Source organism: Homo sapiens, chromosome 2, assembly GCF_000001405.40.
Source record: "Homo sapiens chromosome 2, GRCh38.p14 Primary Assembly".
NCBI classification, from domain to species: domain Eukaryota; kingdom Metazoa; phylum Chordata; class Mammalia; order Primates; family Hominidae; genus Homo; species Homo sapiens.
Window position 1 is genome coordinate 84588035 of NC_000002.12, and position 20215 is coordinate 84608249.

At 36.0% G+C, this 20215-nt stretch overlaps 1 protein-coding gene across 14 annotated transcripts in view; it reads left to right on the forward strand.

Annotated features, from left to right (window-relative positions):
• DNAH6 (dynein axonemal heavy chain 6) overlaps positions 1-20215 on the forward strand; it is a 360018-nt gene that overhangs the window by 128463 nt on the left and 211340 nt on the right. For all 14 annotated transcript variants that reach the window (XM_011532650.4, XM_011532649.3, XM_006711956.3 and 11 more), the window contains 6 exons: positions 792-920; positions 5938-6051; positions 7612-7755; positions 16305-16517; positions 17466-17558; positions 18942-19061. In XM_011532650.4, coding sequence (XP_011530952.1) covers positions 792-920; positions 5938-6051; positions 7612-7755; positions 16305-16517; positions 17466-17558; positions 18942-19061 — 813 coding nt within the window. The remainder of the gene's footprint in view (positions 1-791; positions 921-5937; positions 6052-7611; positions 7756-16304; positions 16518-17465; positions 17559-18941; positions 19062-20215) is intronic.

The following is a 20215-nucleotide window of genomic DNA, read 5'->3' on the forward strand; positions in this document are numbered from 1 at the left end:
TGGTCCACCAGTTCTCTCAACAGTTCCCACTACCAGAATCAAGACACATGAGAACTTCAGGATTCCCTGCATATCATGCCAAGTCACAAGACACCAGAATGTCAATATAAGCCCCTTCTTCCTGGACACATCCCTTGGCTTTTTCTAATCTAGAGCATGTTGCAAGTTTGAATGCATGGCCATGCTGACTAAGACTTGGACTAACTAGCCTCCCTGAGCTATGGCTATAAAGGTTCTCAGATTCCTTCAATTTTCTCAGATTATCCCAAACCTAGTTAAGTGCTTCTGCTTTGCTCCTGAACTATTCCATTCCCATTCACTGGGGTTTCAACCCTAACAGGTCAGCCATAAAACATGTCTTGCCATTTATATTTTTCATTTTCTCTCTTCTGTCATTTTAGAATACAAAGGACTTTCCATTCCTTTATTGTAAAGTGGAAATTTACCGTATATCATATCCCCTTCCTTCTCTTCCCTGTTTCATTCACCTCTCCTTATCTAAGGTCATGTTGGTTGAAGAAGTGTAGGAAATGAAAGCAGATGAGGGAAAATATATTAGATAATGTTTTAAAACAATTTTATCTCCATGGCACTTTATATAAATGTGTACTTTTTATAATGTCTATGCATTGCTTTAAAATTCAGGAAAACAATAATTTTAAACATCATTTCTAAAAATCAAAAAGAAAAGAGAAAGGAATCTTTTTAAAAATGTTTATTAATTCATTTAATTTAATTGGTCTTTATCAAAAAGCAGGAATGGCTAACCAAAAACTGTCTTAAATTTATAGGATCCACAGATTTTAGATATCTCTGCTGACCAAGACAAAATAAGGCTCATATTGAATAATCTGCAATCTGTTCTGGCTGATCTTCAGAAACGTGCATTTCAGTATAAGTCCTATCAGAAGAATTTTAAGGTAATGACAGTTTTACACCATCTGTCTTAGAAATGTGTGTATAGAAATGGCGTATATGCACAAGGACTTCAATAATGTAACTGTAAACATTCAATATTTGGACAACTATGTGCTAGTCAGCATGCTACAAATAGTCTCAAATACAAAATATGATATGTTCCTTGCCTTCGAAGTGTTTAAAGACTAACACACATGAGATACCGAATATCTTTCTTATTAAAATAATTGTGAATTATGCAAAACTTTCAGACAAGGAACTGTACTTTCTATGTTAAAATGTAAGTGGATTTTTTAATGTGGTCAATTAAAACCACACTATCCTTTCTTAAGTAATATTCAGGCTTCCTTTACATTCATATGTACGTTATGATTCCATTAATATTGCCTGATTTACCCTGGTTTTATGTGCCAATTTGATAAAAATGACATCCCCAGCTAAGCCAGGGACAAATGGGTGTAAAAGGGTAGATTTGAGGACCAGGAGCAGTGGCTTATGCCTGTAATCCCAGCACTTTGGGAGGCCAAGGCACTTGGATCACTTAAGCTCAGGAGTTCGAGACCAGCCTGACCAACATAGTGAAACCACATCTCCACTAAAAATACAAAAATTACCCAGGCATGGTGGCACATGCCTGTAGTCCCAGGTACTTGGGAGGCTAAACGGGGAGGATCATTTGAGCCCAGGAGGCGGAGGTTGCGGTGAGCCAAGATCGTGACACCGCACTGCAGCCTAGGTGACAGAGTGAGACCCTGTCTCAAAAAAAAAAAAAAAAAAAAGAAAGGTATATTTGAAAGGCTAATAGAAGTCTCTCAAAAAACATGAAGAGAAAGGGGTAAGAGATGCAGGTGCTTTCAACGGCTTTTAGAGAGACCAACAACAAGAAAAGAGAATAGAAAAGAAAATATTCCTATGGTCAAAACCAGGGAGCCCCTAGCAATAAGGAAGATGCCATTGGTCTCCCCAAAAATCTCGGAGGAACATGCTTGAACCTCACAGGGGAATGCACCTGTCTCTTCAGAGCCCCAGATGGATGACCAGAAAGTGATCTGATATGCTGTCTACTCCAGGGTCCAGGGATTGGTAGAGAAATCTGAAAATAATGAATTTGATACCAGCCAATAAGGCTGGTGATACTTGAGGCAGATTTGTGTGAGTTCAAAGTTGTTCCCAGGTTGGGTTAACTGACCTACAAGACAGGAAGGTATGTAGTAAGGAGCAAGGTATGGAGGAAATACTACTTGATAAAAAGCTACAACTTGGCTGGGCGCAGTGGCTCACACCTGTACTCCCAGCACTTTGGGAGGCCAAGGCTGGCAAATCACGAGGTCAGGAGTTCGAGACCAGCCAGGCCAATATGATAAAACCCCATCTCTACTAAAAATACAAAAAATTAGCTGGGCGTAGTGGCAGGCGCCTGTAATCCCAGCTACTTGGGAGGCTGAGGCAGGAGAATCACTTGATCCCAGGAGGTGGAGGTTGCAGTGAGCCGAGATCGTGCCACCGCACTCCAGCCTGGGTGACAGTGTGAGCGAGGCTCCATTTCAAAAAAAAAAAAAAAAAAAAGCTACAACTCACATGTGAGCACTCCTTGAGCAAGAAAGAATATCTTTGGTCCTGTCAGCAAGACGGCAGAGCATGAAGCCCCAGCCCCTCCTTTTTCCCTTGGACACACTGACTCAACAACCCCTGAACCAATTTATTTTGTCAGAAATACAAAGGCAAGTTGACAGTCTCTTGCACCCTGGGCAAGTATAAAATCAGCTGATGGAAGCCAGTAGAATAATTCCTAACACCCTTTCACTATAATTCCTGCCCCCAGCACAGTGTTACACAATTAGGAGGAAGTTCTCAGCTTCTCCCTGGCGAAGGAGGGAAAGACAGACTGGATGGAATACATGGCATTCTGACACTTTAGGGGTCTGGCTGAGAGATTGGTTTCTCTCTTGCCTGAATTTGATTATGGACAGGAAAGGTCCCCAGGTTGGAACCGCTGAGAACAAAAGCAACAGTTTCGACCAGTTTGCACTCACTAGCCATTAACACCCCTCCCCAAACCCCTGACTCAGTGCAGAGTAAGCAAGCAAGAATTCCCAAATCTCAGCTTCTACCTGGACAGGGGAAGATTTGAAGTGGCTGTCCAATGTGATACATTATCAGGGGACTGCTCAAGGGACAAACTTCTATATCATCTGTCTTGGAGTAGTGACAGGATCCAGCATATTCTAGACATCTCATATGTAGAAAACCCTAAAACTCCAGGGGGAAAAATTTAAAAATAATAAATAAACTCAGTAAAGTTGTAGAATACAAAATCAACTTACGTGAATTAGTTGCATTTCTATATACTAACAACAAACAATTCAAAAGATAAAGAAAACAATTTACAATAGCATAAAAAATATCATGCCATTTACAACAGAATCAAAAATAATAATAATAAAGTAGAAATAAACTTAACCTAGGAGGTAAAAGACTCACACACTATGATGAAAGAAATGAAATAATACACAAATAAATAGAAAGATATCCCATGTTCATTGATTAAAAGACTTAATATTGTTAAAATACCTGTACTACCCAAAGTGACTTATACATTCAATGCAATCCTTACCAATTTCCCAATGACATTTTCTAAAGAAATATTAAAAACAAATTCTAAAATTTATAGGGAACCACAGAGGACCTCGAGTACCCAACACAATCTTGAGAAATAGGAAAAAAGCTAAAGGTCTCACACTTCCTAATCTAAAAACATATTACAAAGCTATAGTAATTAAAATAGTATGGTACTAGCATGCATTCAGACATATAGACCAATGAAACAGAATGGAAAACCGCAAAACAACAAATATGGTCAACGCATCTATGGCAAAGGTGCCAAAAATACACAACAGGGAGAGGATAGTCTCTTCAACAAACGGTGTTAAGGAACTGGATATTCATATGCAAAAGAATGAAGCTGAACCCTTACACAAAAATCAGTTCAAAATGAATGGGTTAAAGACTCAAAAGAACTAAAACTATAAAATTCCTAGAGGAAAAGGTAGGAGAAATCTTCATGACATTGGCCTTGGCTATGATTTCTTGGATGTGACACCAAAAACCAATGTAACAAAAACAGAAATAGACAAGTGGAACTACATCAAACTAAACAGCTTCTGCAAAGCAAAGGAAACAATCAACAGAGTAAAAAGGCAACATACAGAATGAGGGAAAAAATTTGCAAATTATATACTTGATAAGAGGTTATTATCTAAACTCCTTATAGATAAGGAACTCCTACAACACAATAGCCAAAAAAAAAACCCAAATTTTTAAAATGGACAAAGGACTTGAATGAACATTTCTCTAAAGAAGACATACAAATGGTCAACAGGCATGTGAAAAGACACCCAACATCAATAATCATCAGGAAAATTAAAATCAAACCACAAGAAGGTATCACCTCACATCTGTTAGAATGGCCATTACAAAAATAAAATGAATTACCAATATTGGCAAGGATGTGAAGACACTGGAATCCTTTACACTGTAGATGAGAATTAGAATGGTGCAAACACTATGGAAAACAGCATGGTGGTTCCTCAAAACTTAAAAAACAAATGACCCAATGATCCCATTTATGGGCATATATCCCAAATAATTGAATCAGGCTCTTAAAGATATATTTGCACTCCCGTGTTCATTGCAGCATTGTTCTCAGTAGCCAAGATATGGAAACAACTTAAAATGTCCATCAGCAGATGAATGGATAAAGAAAATATGGTATCTACATAAAATAGAATTTTACTCAGCCTCGCAAAATAAGAAAATCCTGCTGTGCCACAGCATGGATGACCTGGAGGACATTATGCTTAGTGAAATAAGCCTGCTACAAAAGGACAAATACTGCATGATCTCATTTATATGAGATATCTAAAGTAGTCAAACTCATATAAGCAGAAAGTGGAATGGTGGTTTCCAGAGGCTGGGAGGAAGGGGAAATGAGGAGTTGTTCTAGGTGTATAAAGTTTCAGTTATGCCAGGTGAAAAAGTACTAGAAAAAGTACATTAAATAACCCTGTTAACATTGTTATAGTTAGCATTACTGTACTTTACACTTAAAAATTTATTAAAAGAATAGATCTCATGTAATGTGTTTTTTACCACAATAAAAAGAAAAGTTAAAAAATAAATTTTTAAAAAACACAGAACCTGAAATGAAACTGTGTCTTCCTCCTTCCATCTTCCATGTCTATGACTTCAAGACTGATTCCTTCCTGATTGTCTCTGATCTAGCCTTCCTTCTGTGGCTCTCAATTATTTGGAGAATAGGAGTGAAAGCCTAACTAATCTAGGTTGCAGGAAATCATTTGCAACTCTTAATAGAAGACAAGACTAAATTCCTAATGTCAAAGCACAAGAATTTCTGTGCAACCAACTCCCTGAAGGTTTCCCCAGCGTTGAACCAAGGCAATCTTAAACACTTCTCATGAAAACACCTTCTTCAGATTTTCTTGCACCCTTCCTCTCCATGGGGTTCATATAAAGTCGTGGTTAGAAAAGAGTCAGAAACCACGCTGTCCTCTCCATCTTAAACTTCACCATCTTCCCCACCAGCTACCGCACAGTCATCTCCCTCTTCTGCCCTTTAAGTACAGAAGCCCAATGGAAATCAGTGCCTCTAAAGACTCATCTGCTTTCCCTAGAAGACCTAACATATATGTGCATGTACAATCCAACTCAAAAAAGTGTTACTCTTATAATATTTATGTCTTTGGAGAATATTTAAGTTCTAAGTTCTAAGGAAATACCAGGAGTTGTATTTTGTTTCTCTAATGGAAAGTCTAATATATGTGGGGTTTTGTGGAGTTTTTTTTTTTTTCTTCATCTGTTTCTAGTGCTCCTTTTCTTAATCCATTTAGGATGCACATTCTTCCAAGCAATCACTGTACCAAGAATTACTAATAGGAGAATAGCATATGCTCATTATATCTGAAAACTAAATTACGCATTTTGTTTACTACATTTTTAAAGGTAGAAGTGTCCAAGTTTGAAGCTTTGGAAGAAGTCAGTGCTGAACTGAAGCTCAAACAATTGCTCTGGGATTCTTTCTCTGAATGGGATAAACTCCAACAAGAATGGTTAAAGGTAGGGGAAAAAAGCCTTCAGTTCTCAAATTATTTTTGTATGAATTAATCTTAAAATTCTAATAATTTGAATTATAACTTTTAACAATCTGGTGCTTTTCTTAATGTCAGTAAAATATGCAATGGTATCATTTTCTGATAATTTTTATAAGCTTTCCAGTGAAAGGCACAAAGGTCCTTATGTCACTGTATGCTACAGGCTCCATATTAGAAGGCTACATAGTGGAAGCATCAATGGACAATGCTGTATGACGTTTAATCACTTTGTGGTTTCTAAACACAATGTTGTCATCATACACTTCAGTGTTCTTGAGGATTGTAGGATTTTATTTGTGATCTACACACTTTAGATTTCTATTTTTGTTGTCCTTTAAAAAAGGAAGCCATTTTGTTCACTGTAATAGGATAGAGTGATAAAATCTAGGATCTTCCTTTGAGAGCTCAATAGTAAACTTTTTAAATTAGAGAGCCAAATATCAACAGCCATCAGAGAGTTTTGTTTCTAGGATCTACCCTATATTCAATCCTTAACAAAGGTCAACTCTCTACAAGGCAAAATAGATGGCCACCTATACTTTCAAGTGTGGTATGGACATGTTAGAAATACTATCAACCTCACAAATATTGTTTTACACTTCTTATTCATCCTTCCTGTGCTGATGCCTATAATTAGAAGGCACATGTCTTGGTTAAAAAACAGTAACATGGGAAATATGTTCCAGGTAATGTTCTAGGTGCTGGGAGTACCAGTGGAGAATAAGAAGAACAAAGTTCAAACGTAGAACTCTTTGGTGGAGAAAATAGAAAATAAAAAACAAATATATGCTATAACACCAGACAGTTTTAAGTGCTCTCCTTTAACTCATTTATCAATTATCTCAGAAGTAAGAAAATATTCTTGAGAAGAAGCAGCTTAAAGGATTTTCTGATTACCACCATGGATTAGAGCAGTGGCTTCCACCGTAGGATGCATTCACCCTAGGAAATGCACAAGAAAACACACTAGGGAGCAGAAGAAAAATGATGGACTTAGAAAAAAAGAAAAATGAAGGTTTACAAATTTTCTACTGCCATCAATATATATGTGTGGCTATCTGACATGTCAATATATGTGTATATTTATATGTTTACATAATTGAGAAAAACAATTATAGATCTGTAAGTATATAGATCTATAATTTTATGAATAATTTATGAATTTAAAATATGTATGTTAAACAGGTATATAATCAAATAATAGAAGACTACTAGGTGAGAAATTTCTGGTTAGCAAGAGTAAAAAAATAGCTATTTGTCTCCTTAGAGGACTTTATGAATATTGACCCTCAGAAATAAATTACGGAGATTCCAGTACTACATTTGATGATGTGGGAGGCAAGAACATGAAAGGAATAAACAGGTGATGCTGGATATATAATGTTATTAGCAATTTAATAAGTAAAGCCATTTCCAAAAGCATAGTGTAGATTTGGATTAACTTTTAAAAGTTTTTTTAGTATTTCAAACCTGACTTTTACTTTATGTTTTAACTTGTTTTGCTTTGTTTTTAAATTTTTCATAGTCCAAATTTGATTGCCTGGATCCAGAAGTCCTAAACGGTCAAGTTTCTAAATATGCTAAATTTGTGACTCAACTGGAAAAAGGCTTGCCACCCAACAGTGTAGTGCCCCAGCTCAAATACAAGGTGGAAAAAATGAAAGAAAAGGTAAGGTTGGTAGAAGTTATTTCAAAAACTGTAGGCCAGTTGGTTATTAATTGATGCTAATGAGACCAAAATCAGGAATTTTTCCCTGATTAAGTTAGTCAGCTTTGCAGACAGAAAAAACAATAGTCAAATTCATTTTTTTGCAGTGGCACAGACTGCATTCCTGTCTTCATTTGGCCAAATCATGCAGTTGAATACTGTGGTTAGGAGGGGCATTCAGAGTGTTTCCCAAGTGGTAAGGGAAATAGTGCAGGAATAGGTTGTAGTTATGCTAAGATACTGATGTGCTCAAACCCTTAGGGAGCCAGATGAGGCTGGGGTAGACTTGTCCAATCGGCCTTGTCCATTTGCATCAGTGCACCACACAACTATGCCATTTTCCAGATGTGCTATGATGTGAAGGAAGTTGGGAAGCCAGGCTGCAGGTGTACAGGTCTGAATTTTTGAAACTATCTCAGCTAAGCCAGTGCTTGAAATGGTTAAGAAACGGGATATGATTTTAGTTTTTTAAACAGTTTTAGGGTGTTTTTTGTTGTTGTTGTTTTGTTTGTTTGTTTTTTGTTCACTTTTGTTGCCCAGGTTGGAATGCAGTGGCACGATCTCGGCTCACTGCAACCTCGGCCTCCTGGGTTCAAGCGATTCTCCTGCCCCAGCCTCCTGAGTAGCTGGGATTATAGGCACCCGCCACCCACCACGCTGGGCTAATTTTTTGTGTTTTTTCAGTAGAGACAGGGTTTCACTATGTTGGTCAGGCTGGCCTCAAAATCCTGACCTCACGTGATCCACCTGCCTCGGCCTCCCAAAGTGCTGGGATTACAGGCGTGAGCCACTGCGCCTGGACAATTTTAGGGTATTTTTTTAAAGATGAAATAAAGAACTAAAAAAAAAACAAATGTGGAGAAGAAAAGTAAGCAAAGCTTCAGACACAATGAGAAGAAAATTTTCCAGCTTGAAAAGAGTGTTATTTGCATAATATTTTTCCCTTTAGCTTACAATATCTAGTCAAAACACTTTCCCAAGTTGTTTAGGTCAGCTTCTTTCTTTATTGCCTTTAGTGTGATTACATCATATAATTGTAAACAAATTTATTTGTTAAAGTCTGCATTCCATCTTGGGTTCCCTCGAAATCCTAGTTTATATTTTTTTAAACTTGAATACAGTAGAGGTCACTTTTTGTGGCATACAGTTCTATGGGTTTTTACAAATGGGTAGAGTAATGTATCCAATACAATAGTACCATACAGAACAATTTCATTATCCTAAAAATTTGCTTGTATTGTCCCTTTGTAGTCAGCCTTTCCCTTTATCACAATTCCACACAACCACTGATCTGTTTTCTGTCTCTATAGTTTTGCCTTTTACAGAATATTATATAAATGAAATAATACAACATGCAGCCTTTTGGGTCTGGATTCATTCACTCAGCAAAATGCATTTAAGATCCCTCTATGTAGTTGTACCTAAAATATGTAACATACTCTTACAAATAAAAAGACAAATAACCCTTTAAAATGGGCAAAAGATTTGAATACACACTTCCCCAAAGAAGACACATGAAAAGATGCTGAACACCATTAGTTATTAAGGAAATGCAAATCAAAGCTGCAATGAGATAGCACTTCACACTCACTAGGATGGCTATGATCAAAGAGACAGATTATATAGGAATAAGTGTTGTAGGGAATATGCAGAAATTAGAACTTCCACATGTTGCTGGTAGGATCGTAAGGTTGTGCAGCCACTTTGGAAAATAATCTGGCAGTTTGTTCAAGATGTTAAATATAGACCTACCATATTACCAAGTGACTCTGCTCCCAGATATATGGCCAAGATAATTGAAAACGTGTGTTCACGCAGAAACTTCAATACAAATGTTCACAGCAGCATTGTTCATAATAGCCAAAAGTAGGGGAAAAAACAAATTTCCATCAATTAATAAATTGGAGAAATAAAATGTGGCATATCTATATGATGGAGTTTTATTCAGTAGTAAAATGAAATTAAGTTGTATGTGCAACAGAATAGATGAACCTTAAAAACATGATGCTGGACTAGGTGAGGTGACTTATGCCTGTAATCCCAATACTTTGGGAGGCCAAGGTGGGAGGATCACTTGAGCCCAGGAGTTCAAGACCAGCCTGTACAACATAGTGGGACCTGATGTCTGCAAACAAATAAGATAAAAAATTTAAAAACATGATGCAAGTAAGAGAAGCCAGTCAAAAAAAAAGGCCAGATAGCATATGTCATTTATATGAAATGTCCAGAATAAAGAAATCTATAGTGAGAAAGTGAACTCGTGGTTACTCGTGGAACTCGTGGTTCTTTCTATCTTTCTTTTCTTTCTTTCTTTCTTTCTTTCTTTCTTTCTTTCTTTCTTTCTTTCTTTCTCTCTTTCTTTTCTTTCTTTCTTTCTTTCTATGAGACAGGATCTCACTGTGTTGCTCAGGCTGGTCTTGAATTCCTGGGCTCAAGCAGTCCTCCTGCTTTGGCCTCCCAAAGTGCTGGAATCACAGGCCTGAGCCACCATGCCCAGCCAGTTCATTTATTTTTATTTTCTAGTATTCTGTTATATAGATGTACCATAGTTTGTTTATCCATTCACCTGGTGAAAGATATCTGAGTTCTGTCTCATTTTGTAGTGATTTTTAATAAAGCTGCTATAAACTTTCATGTACAGCTTTTTGTTTTGTGTGAACATGAGTTTTCTATTAACTTGGGTAAATAACTAGAAGTAGGATTATTAGGTTGTATAGTAAGCATACGTTTAACTTTATAAGAAGTTGCCAAAATGTTTTCCAAAGAACTGCAACATTTTGGCTTTTCACTAGCAATTTATGAGAATTCCAGTTTCTCCTCATCATCACTAGCCCTTGTTATTTTGAGGGACCTTTTTGTTTTGTTTTTTAATTTCAGTCATTCTAACCAATGGATAGTAGTGTCTTAAAATTGTCATAATTGGCCGGGCACGGTGGCTCATGCCTATAATCCCAGCACTTTGGGAGGCCGAGGCAGGTGGATCACGAGGTCAAGAGATCAAGACCATCCTGGCCAACATGGTGAAACCCCGTCTCTACTAAAAATACAAAAATTAGCTGGGCGTGGTGGCTTGTGCCTGTAGTCCTGGCTACCTGGGAGGCTGAGGCAGGAGAATCGCTTGAACCTGGGAGGTGGAGGTTTCAGTGAGCCGAAATTGCGCCACTGTACTCAGGCATGGGCCATAGAGTGAGACTCAGTTTCAAAAAAAAAAAAAAAAAAAAAGTCATAATTTGCATTTTTCTAAATACTGATAATGTTGAACATCTTCTTATATGCTATTTGCCATCCATCTATATTCTTTGATTAAATGTCTGTTCAGATCTTTTGCCCATTTTTAATTGGGTTGTTTGCTTGGTTATAATTGAGTTTTAAGAGTTATTCATATATTCTGCATAAAAGTTTTTTTTCAGATATGTAACTTGAAAATATTTTCTTCCAGTCAGTTGCTTGTCTTTTCAGTTCCTGTACAGTGATTTTCACAGAGCAAAAAGTTTTAATTTCAATAAACTCTAATTTATAATTTTTTTCTTTTATGAATCAAGCTTTTAGTATAGTATCCAAACACTTTTTTTTCAAACTTAAGGTCACACATATTTTCTCTATGTTTCTTCTGTTAGAAGTTTAAAGGTTTTGTTTTCTATGTTTAGGTATATGATCTATTTTGAGTTAATTTTTTCATAAATATGAGGTATCAAGGTGTACTTTTGTACATATTATATCCAATTAAAGGAACAGCATTATTTGAAATGATTATTTTTTCTTCAGTCATTATTTGGAAATGACTATCCTCCCCAGGCACTCTTCTCCATTGACTCACCTTTGCACATTTGCCAAAAGTCAATTGACTATATTTTTTAGTCTATTTCTGGACTCTGTTCTGTTTCATTGTTCTATAAGCCTATTCTTTCATCAATACTACACTTTCTTAATTACGATAGCTAGTAAGTGTTGAAATCAAGTAGTCTTAATCCTCCAATTTTGTTCTTCCTTTTTACAATTATTTTGTCTATTCTAATTCCTTTGCCTTTCCATATCTATTTTATATTTAGCTTCTCAATATCTATAAAACTGTCTTATGGTCCAAAAACATACTTTTATGATTTCTGTCCTTTTAAATTTTTTAAGGTTTGTTTTATAGCCCAGAATATGGTCAATTTTGTTGAATTTTCCATATGCACTTTAGAAGAATGTGCATTCTGCTGTTGCTCAGTGATCATTCTACAAGTGTTAATTAGGTGGACTTGGTTGGTGGTGGTGTTCAGGTCATCTATACCCTTGCTGATTTTCTGCCAGCTTGTTCTGTTAGGGACTCAGAGAGGAGTGTTGAACTCTCTAACTATAATTGTGGGTTTACCTAATTCTCCTTTCCATTCTATCAGTTTATGCATTTTTTAATATACTTTTATTTCAGAATAGTTTTAGATTCATAGAAAAGTTATAACAATAATACCAAGGGTTCCCATATACTCCACATTCCATTTCTTTTATTAACATATTACATTAGTATAATACATTTGTCACCACTAATGTACCAATGTCAATACGTTATTAGTAACTAAAGTCCATGCTTTATCTGAGTTTTTTTAGTTTTTACCTAACATCCTTTTCTTTTTCCATCCCAAGATTTCATCCATGATAAAACATTACATTTAATTGTCATGTCTTCTTAGGCTCTACTAGGCTGTGACAGTTTCTCAGACTTTCCTTGTTTTTTATGACCTTGATCATTTTGAAAAGTACTGGTCAAGTAATTTGTATAATATCCTTCAATTTGGATTTGTCTGAGATTTTTCTCATAATTACACTGGAATTATAGATTCTTACAAAGAAGACAAGACAGGTAAAGTACCATTTTCATCACATCATATCCAAAATACATGCTATCAACATGACTTTTCACTGATGGTGTTCAGCTTGACCACATGGCTGAAGTAGCATTTGTCTTAACTGTACAGTTACTACTGCCCTTTCCATACTGTATTCTTTGAAAGGAAGTTACTACGCACAGCCATACTTAAGGGGTGGAAATTTCTGTTCCACCTCCTAAAAGCATTGACACCCCAGTAGCAATGAGCATAATTTGTATCCAGATTTTCATTTTTAATACTATAAGGTATAATACTATAAGGAATAATAACACTATATTATTATTATAGTATAATAATAATAATATACTATAATAATATTATAATAATAATGTTATTATTATACTATAATAATAATGTTATTATTATACTATAAGGAATCCTTGTAGAAATGGCTGATTATATGGATGAGTCAGGAAATATACAAGATGAACCTGGAGCATCTTGAGGTGCTGGGAAGTAAGAAAGAGCTCAGAAAACAAAATGATGGGAGAATATCAAAAGGGCAAGGAAGACTTAATGGCCAAAGCCATAAGAATTTTAGGCAAAAAAAAATGTAGTATTGTATTATAACCCAAGTTATAAAGTAAATATCCATGAATTCATACTGATATAAATGAGTGATTGAATGAATGAGTGAATAACTTTATGATGATACTGCCACCTCAAGATAGTGGTGCTTGATTTATTTTGATGTTCTGTTGTTGGACATGTGCACATTTAGTATTGTTACTTCTTTTTGAGGAATTGACCCCTTCATCATTATTAATTTTCTCTCTTATCTCTGATAAGATTCCTTGTTCTAACATTTACATTTTCTGAAATTAACATAGCTAGTTCAGCTGTCTTTTAGTGTTTGTGTGATATGGCTTTCTGCATTTTTTACTTTTAACTTATCTGTGTTTTTATATTTAGAATAGGTTTTTTTAGATAGCATAGAATTGATTCCTATTTTTTTAATCCAGTCTGACATTCTTAGTCCCTTAACAGGTGTGTGTAGACCATTCACATTTAAAGTCATTATTTATACAGTTGGATTGAATCTACCATCTTGCTAGCTGTTTTATTTATTCTATTGATTCTTTGTTTCTTTTTTCTCTTTTTGTGCCTTTTAATTTAATTGCATATTTTATGATTCCATTTTATCTTCTCAATGAGATTATCATTCATACCACTTTTTCAATAATTTTTAGAAGCAATTTTTTAGAAAATTGTTTAAAATTGTTATCCTAAGCTTAAAATATAGATTTATAATTAATCCAAATCAATTATTTTACTATTTCACATGTACTGTAAAGACCTTATAATAGTACACACCCAATTAATTCCTCCATACATTCTTTGTGCTGATGTTATGTCTATATTTACATATACTATAAATATAACTTATTTTTACTGTTTTTGCTCCAGACAGTTATCTTTTAGAGCAATAAAAATAAGAAAGAAAATGAATTTTACTTTACCAGTATTACATTTCCAGTGTTCCTCATTGCTTTGTGTGGATCTAAGTTTCTGACTCATAACATGTTCATTCAGCCTAAAGAATATCCTTTAATATTTCTTATAGAGTATGTATGCTAACGATTAATTTCCTCGGTTTTTATTTTGAGGAAGTCTTTATCCTTTAGTTTTGAATGATATTTTCACTGGGTATATAATTCTGAGACAACAGTTTTTGTTTCTGTTTTTCCTTCAGTAATTTGGAGGTATTCTTTTCTTGTTTGCATGATTTTGGACAAGCAGTCTGCTGTAGTTTTAAATTCTCATTGTTCTATAGATGTTGTGTCCCTTTTTTTTTTTTTTTTTTTTTTTTTTGGTCTGGCTACTTTCAAGATTTTCTCTTCATCTTGATTCTCATCAGTTAGGAGTAGAGTATGCCTAGGTGTGCATGTGCTATTGTTACTGTTCAAATTTATTTTGCTTGATGTTCTCTGAGTTTCTTGGATCTGTGATTTGGTGTTTGTTTTTAATTTTGAAAATTTTTGCAGCTGTTATTTTTCAAGCATTTCTTCTGCTCTGTTTTCTGTCTCTCTTCTCCTTCTATGATTTCTGTGATATGTACTTTAGGCTGTTTGACATTGTCCCACAGGTCTTGGATGCTCTGTTTTTTTTTTTTTTTCTTTTCCCTCTTTTTTCTCTGTGTGTCAGTTTCTGGAATTTATACTCACTTATCTTCAAGTTCATTCATTCCGTGGCTGTGTTAAACCCTTTAAAGGCATTCTTTATCTCTTATACTGTTTTTTTTATTTCTAGCATTTTTGTTCGATTTGTAATTGTATTTTCCACCTCTCTGTTGACATTTCCCAACTGATTTTGCTTTTCTATCTTTTCCATTAGAACCTTTAACATGTTAATCATAGTTATTTTTAATTATCTACTTCCAACATGTGTGTCATTTCTGGGTCTGATTATTGCCTTGCCTCTTAGATGTGTGGTTTTTCTTGCCTTTTCACATGCATCTTAATTTTTTGTTCAAAGCCAGGTATCTTATATAGTACAGTAAATACCAAAGCAAATAATATTTGTGCTTGGAAATGAGCATGCCTCTTCTTCTACTTGGATTTTTGTGCAACATGTTGCATTAAATCTAATTAGGAATTGGGCTAGGTTTAAGGGTTGATGTTGCTATGGTTACCCTCAGTGCACCACAGGCTTCAGATTTTTCTAGTGATACCTCGAATTTCGGGTGGGGCTGGTTTACCAAAGGTTATTTTCTCAATTTCTATTTTCCTCTGACCTTGGGTCTTCCCTTTGTGTTGTGCTCACTGAGAATCTGTCACCCGCAGCTTTCCACTCTGTATCCCACTGCTATTTTTACTCAGTATTTGATAACATGGTGGCAGAGGTGAGAAGGAACATTCCCTCATGTTCTCATTAAACCTTCATCTTACGAGGCACTGTAACTCTTTTTCTCAGAATTCCTATCACAGGTGCTCCTCCCCCTTTTCCAGCTATAGTGCTGAGCCTAGCACTTATTTTTGTCCCTCCCTCAAGGGTAAATTGTTTTTTTCCATGTTCTATTCCTCCAGTTATAGGAAGAGATATCTTCAATGAGTTATCACTAGTGCCTTAAGGTGGCACAGTTTGTTACTCTTTTCCCTGTACATCAAGGGATTTGTTCCACAAGGGAGCTAAGGCAGATAAATTTGTTGGAGCTACTATAATGGACGCTGTTTCCCTCCCCAAGCCAGCATCATAAGGGAAGCTTTCTTGGGAGTCCTTTCAGTCTTCACTGTCAATTTCCACTGTATTTGTAGGCTCAGAGGTTTTCCATTCTCATTCTACCCCGCACTTAATATTTAGCGCTCTATTTTTAAAATTTAGCTGAATCTTCTTAATAGTTTGTATGTCATCCCAAGGAATCTGCCCCAGGTAGGAAAATTTTCAGTTGCTGTTTCTCCTTGTGGAGAAACCTGTCGGTATCAATCTCTCTCCAAATTTGGAGTTTGTTCTGCCCCCGCAAACTTGGTTTTCTAATAGGCTCAATTAGAGTCATTAATTTGCAGTCATCCAGATTTTGCTCTGTGGAAAGAGGGTAAGTGGTGCTCTTTTCCAGCTCTCTACATGCACAAATTGAAACCAGAACCTGTGGGTTATATTTTTAAGATAAAAAGCTTCATGTCTCTGAGAGTGTTTGTTTTTCAGCTTCCAGTTATCATTGACTTGAGGAACCCGACTTTGAAGGCAAGACATTGGGCAGCTATTGAACAAACAGTTGATGCCACTCTAGTGGATGCTGAAATTCCATTAACCTTGGAGAGGCTCTCCCAGTTGCATGTTTTTGACTTTGGTCAAGAAATCCAGGACATATCTGGACAGGCTTCTGGAGAAGCTGCCTTAGAAGCAATTCTTAAAAAGGTAAATCTGGAATATATATTTATCTATATACCATTAGGGAATGTGAAAGTTTTCAGATTCAACATTTGGTGATCTGGATGTTTTTTTCAACGTTGCAGCTTTCACTCTCTCATTATCAGTCATCCCTCTGTTGTTTCCTTACAACAGATATTACTGTTATCACCTCTAAAAATCTCCTCCTTCTGCTTATCCTATAACACATAGGAACTTGATGGCCACAAGGTTTGAAATGTGCATGCTTATATAAGAAATCATATACCAAGAATGATCTTTTAAACCCAAATACGTTATCTTCCAAGCTACCAGAGAAATCTGTTAAATGCTTCAAAAGACATTAAGATTTTCCTAGTTATGATACTATCTCCTTACCCCAAAAATATATACACACCTACTAACCCTCTGCATAAAAGGAATTCTTTTTCTGTCAAAGTATATGTGTTAATGTCAATCAAATAAAATTAAGCAAATTAGTGTCATCTATCCAAGAAGAAGATTTTAAGAATTTTAAAGGGCAGGCCAGGCGTGGTGGCTCATGCCTGTAATCCCAGCACTTTGGGAGGCCAAGGCAGACAGATCACGAGGTCAGGAGATCAAGACTATCCTGGCTAGCATGGTGAAACCCTATCTCTATTAAAAATACAAAAAAAAAAAATTAGCCAGGCGTGGTGGCAAGTGCCTGTAGTCCCAGCTACTCGGGAGGCTGAGGCAGGAGAATGGCGTGAACCCAGGAGGTGGAGCTTGCAGTGAGCCGAGGTTACACCACCGCACTCCAGCCTGGGTGACAGAGTGAGACTCTATCTCAAAAAAAAAAAAAAAAAAGAATTTTAGAGAGCAATAAGGAGGAAAATGGGATAATTATGGAGTTTTTATTTATTTCATTTCACGTGCATTTATTGAGTATCTAAACACACTGAATTTAGATATCCTAAGGCTTGAATTATTTCTAAGGTGGAGGACTCTTGGAAAACAACTGAATTTGTCATTCTGCCTCACCGTGACTCCAAAGATGTGTTTATACTGGGCGGCACAGATGACATACAGGTGGGTAACTGGGTTATTGAAAACTTATGGTAAAGATCCCAGCCACACCTAGTCTTAAATCTTCTGTGAGAGATTATGATGAGGGAATAAAACATGAGAGTCACTTAATAAGAAAAATCTAATTGGGAAAGCAAAATGAATGCAAATAATTGACGTGAATGCTTGTACGTGAAATATTTAACAAAGCATTAAAAATTTCATATATATGTAAGAGTTGCAACCTGTAGTTGGTAACTATTGAGGAATTTAGAAAAACAAAGAGAACAGTTACAGCTGAAGTGATCAGAGCATTTTCCCTAGACCAGTCATAACAAGCTGGATCTTAAATATTAGATGGGATTTGAAAGACTTAGAAAAAAAAATAAAGGGCACTTCAAACCCTGTAAACAAGGCAAAGAAACCTGAATGAGCATTTCCTGTTTATAGCACACGAAAAGGCTAAATTCACTTGAGTTTATTGGAATTAGGAAACAATGGCCACGCTCTGTCAACCACAAAAGAAAATAAATCTAATTCATGTGTTTGGAATAGTCTTTCTCATTTAAAATCTGAAGGCACATTTGTTTAGCAAAGGGAGCTGGGTCACATAGCCCAACTTAAAAGGCAAAGCCCTGGCCTAATAGGGTGTATCCAGGCCAGAATTAGAGATAAAATAGCTTTTCCAGGTGTAGGTTGGAAGAGAAAGACCAGACATCACTCTGCGCAGGGGATGGGAGAGCAGACTCAAAGAGGTCAGTAAGTTTAGGCCAATTGATGTCATGTGGTGAGGGTTCTACTCTCAAAAAGCTTATAATTGAAATGGACCATTAAATCTTTCAGATTAACAAGCACATTTTTAAAAATTCACATGCTCCGTGAGAGATGCTGTTGTATAAAGGGGAGTAGTAGGGGAGGGAGGTGGAGGAGAAACTGTATAACCATTCAGAGCTTGATATGAATGAGTTCAATTCTCTCTTCCTTGAGATAATTGAGAGAAAGTGATAATTCATTGGACAGAAGACAGCTAATTTTGCCAGTATATGATATTTTGAGAAATAAAGGCAAGCCCAGGTGACCAAATTGTGTTAAGAAGGTAAAAGTTACCTAATAGTGAAGGGAGAGAGGAAAAGAGTGTCAAACCAAACAAAAACTTGTGCCATTATTAATTACAGGATCAGCAGAAATTTGGCAATCAGAAGTCCTAGGTGACCTTTGAAAGAACATCATGGTGCCACAAGGATGTGAATAATGAAGGGAAATTGATGAGTAGGAAACAGTAAGAGGGGCTAAGCTATTAATTCAAAGAGTTGACTTTTAAGTAGACACTTGGGATTATGTATCTGAAATATTACTGAAAGCACAAATACTGGGTGCTGCATGTATTTTCTTCCCCTTCCTTTAAAGGTCCTTCTTGATGATAGCACCATCAATGTTGCAACTCTTGCCTCATCACGTTACCTTGGTCCACTGAAAACTCGAGTGGATGAATGGCAAAAACAACTTGCTTTATTTAATCAAACACTGGTGAGTAAGAATAATTTTGATTCATACACTCAGAGAATTGGAGAGTCACAAGGACCTTAGAAATTATTTGTTTCATTATTTAAATATTATATGGTTTTAAAATGTAAGTTTTAATTGTGGACATGTTATTGTGTTTAGAATGTAAGGGAAATGCACAGGTATTAAGCTCTTCTTTATATAATTATACAGCTTAATGCTATTACCATCACCCTTGCATAGGTATACTTCAATGATATTGTAGATTTGGTTCCAAACCACCATGATAACCCAAATGTTGCAATAAAGAAAGCCACATGAATTTTTTGGTTTCCAAGAACATATAAAAGTTATGTTGAATTAGGAACACATGGACATAAAGATAGACATAATAGACACTGGAGACTACTAAAGAGGGGAGAGAGGAAGGGTGCAAGGGTGGAAAAACTACCTATTGGATACTATGCTCACTCTCTGAATGACAAGATCATTCATACCTCAAACCTCAGCATTACACAGCATACCCATTTAAAAAACCTGCACATGTAACCCCTGAATCTAAAATATAAGTTGAAATTATTTTTTAAAAGTTATGTTTATAGTGTACTGTAGTCCATTAAGTGTGCAATACTATATTGCTAAAAATTGCTAACTATTATCTGAGCCTTCAGTGACTCATCATCTTTTGGCTGGTGGAAGATCTTGCCTCAGTGTTGATGGGTGGCTGCTGAAGGTTGGGGGTGCTGTGGCAATTTCCTAAAACAAGACAACAATGAAGTTTGCCACATTCATCGACTCTTCCTTTTATTTAAAAAAAATCTTTGTAGCATGCAATATTTTATAGCATTTTCCCCATGACAGAACTTCTTTCAAAATTGGAGTCAATGTTCTCAAGCCCTACTTCTGCTTTATCAACTATGTTTATGTAATATCCTAAATCCTTTGTTGTCATTTCAACAATGTTTATAGCATTTTCACCAGGAATAGATTCCATCTCAAGAAACCACTTTCTTTGCTCATCCATAAGAAGCAAGTCCTTATCTATTCAAGTTTTATCATGAGATTGCAGCAATTCAGTCGCCTCTTCAGGCTCCACTTCTAATTCTAGTTCTCTTGCTATTTCCACCATATCTGCAGTTATTTCCTCCACTGAAGTCTTGAATCTCTCAAAGTCATCT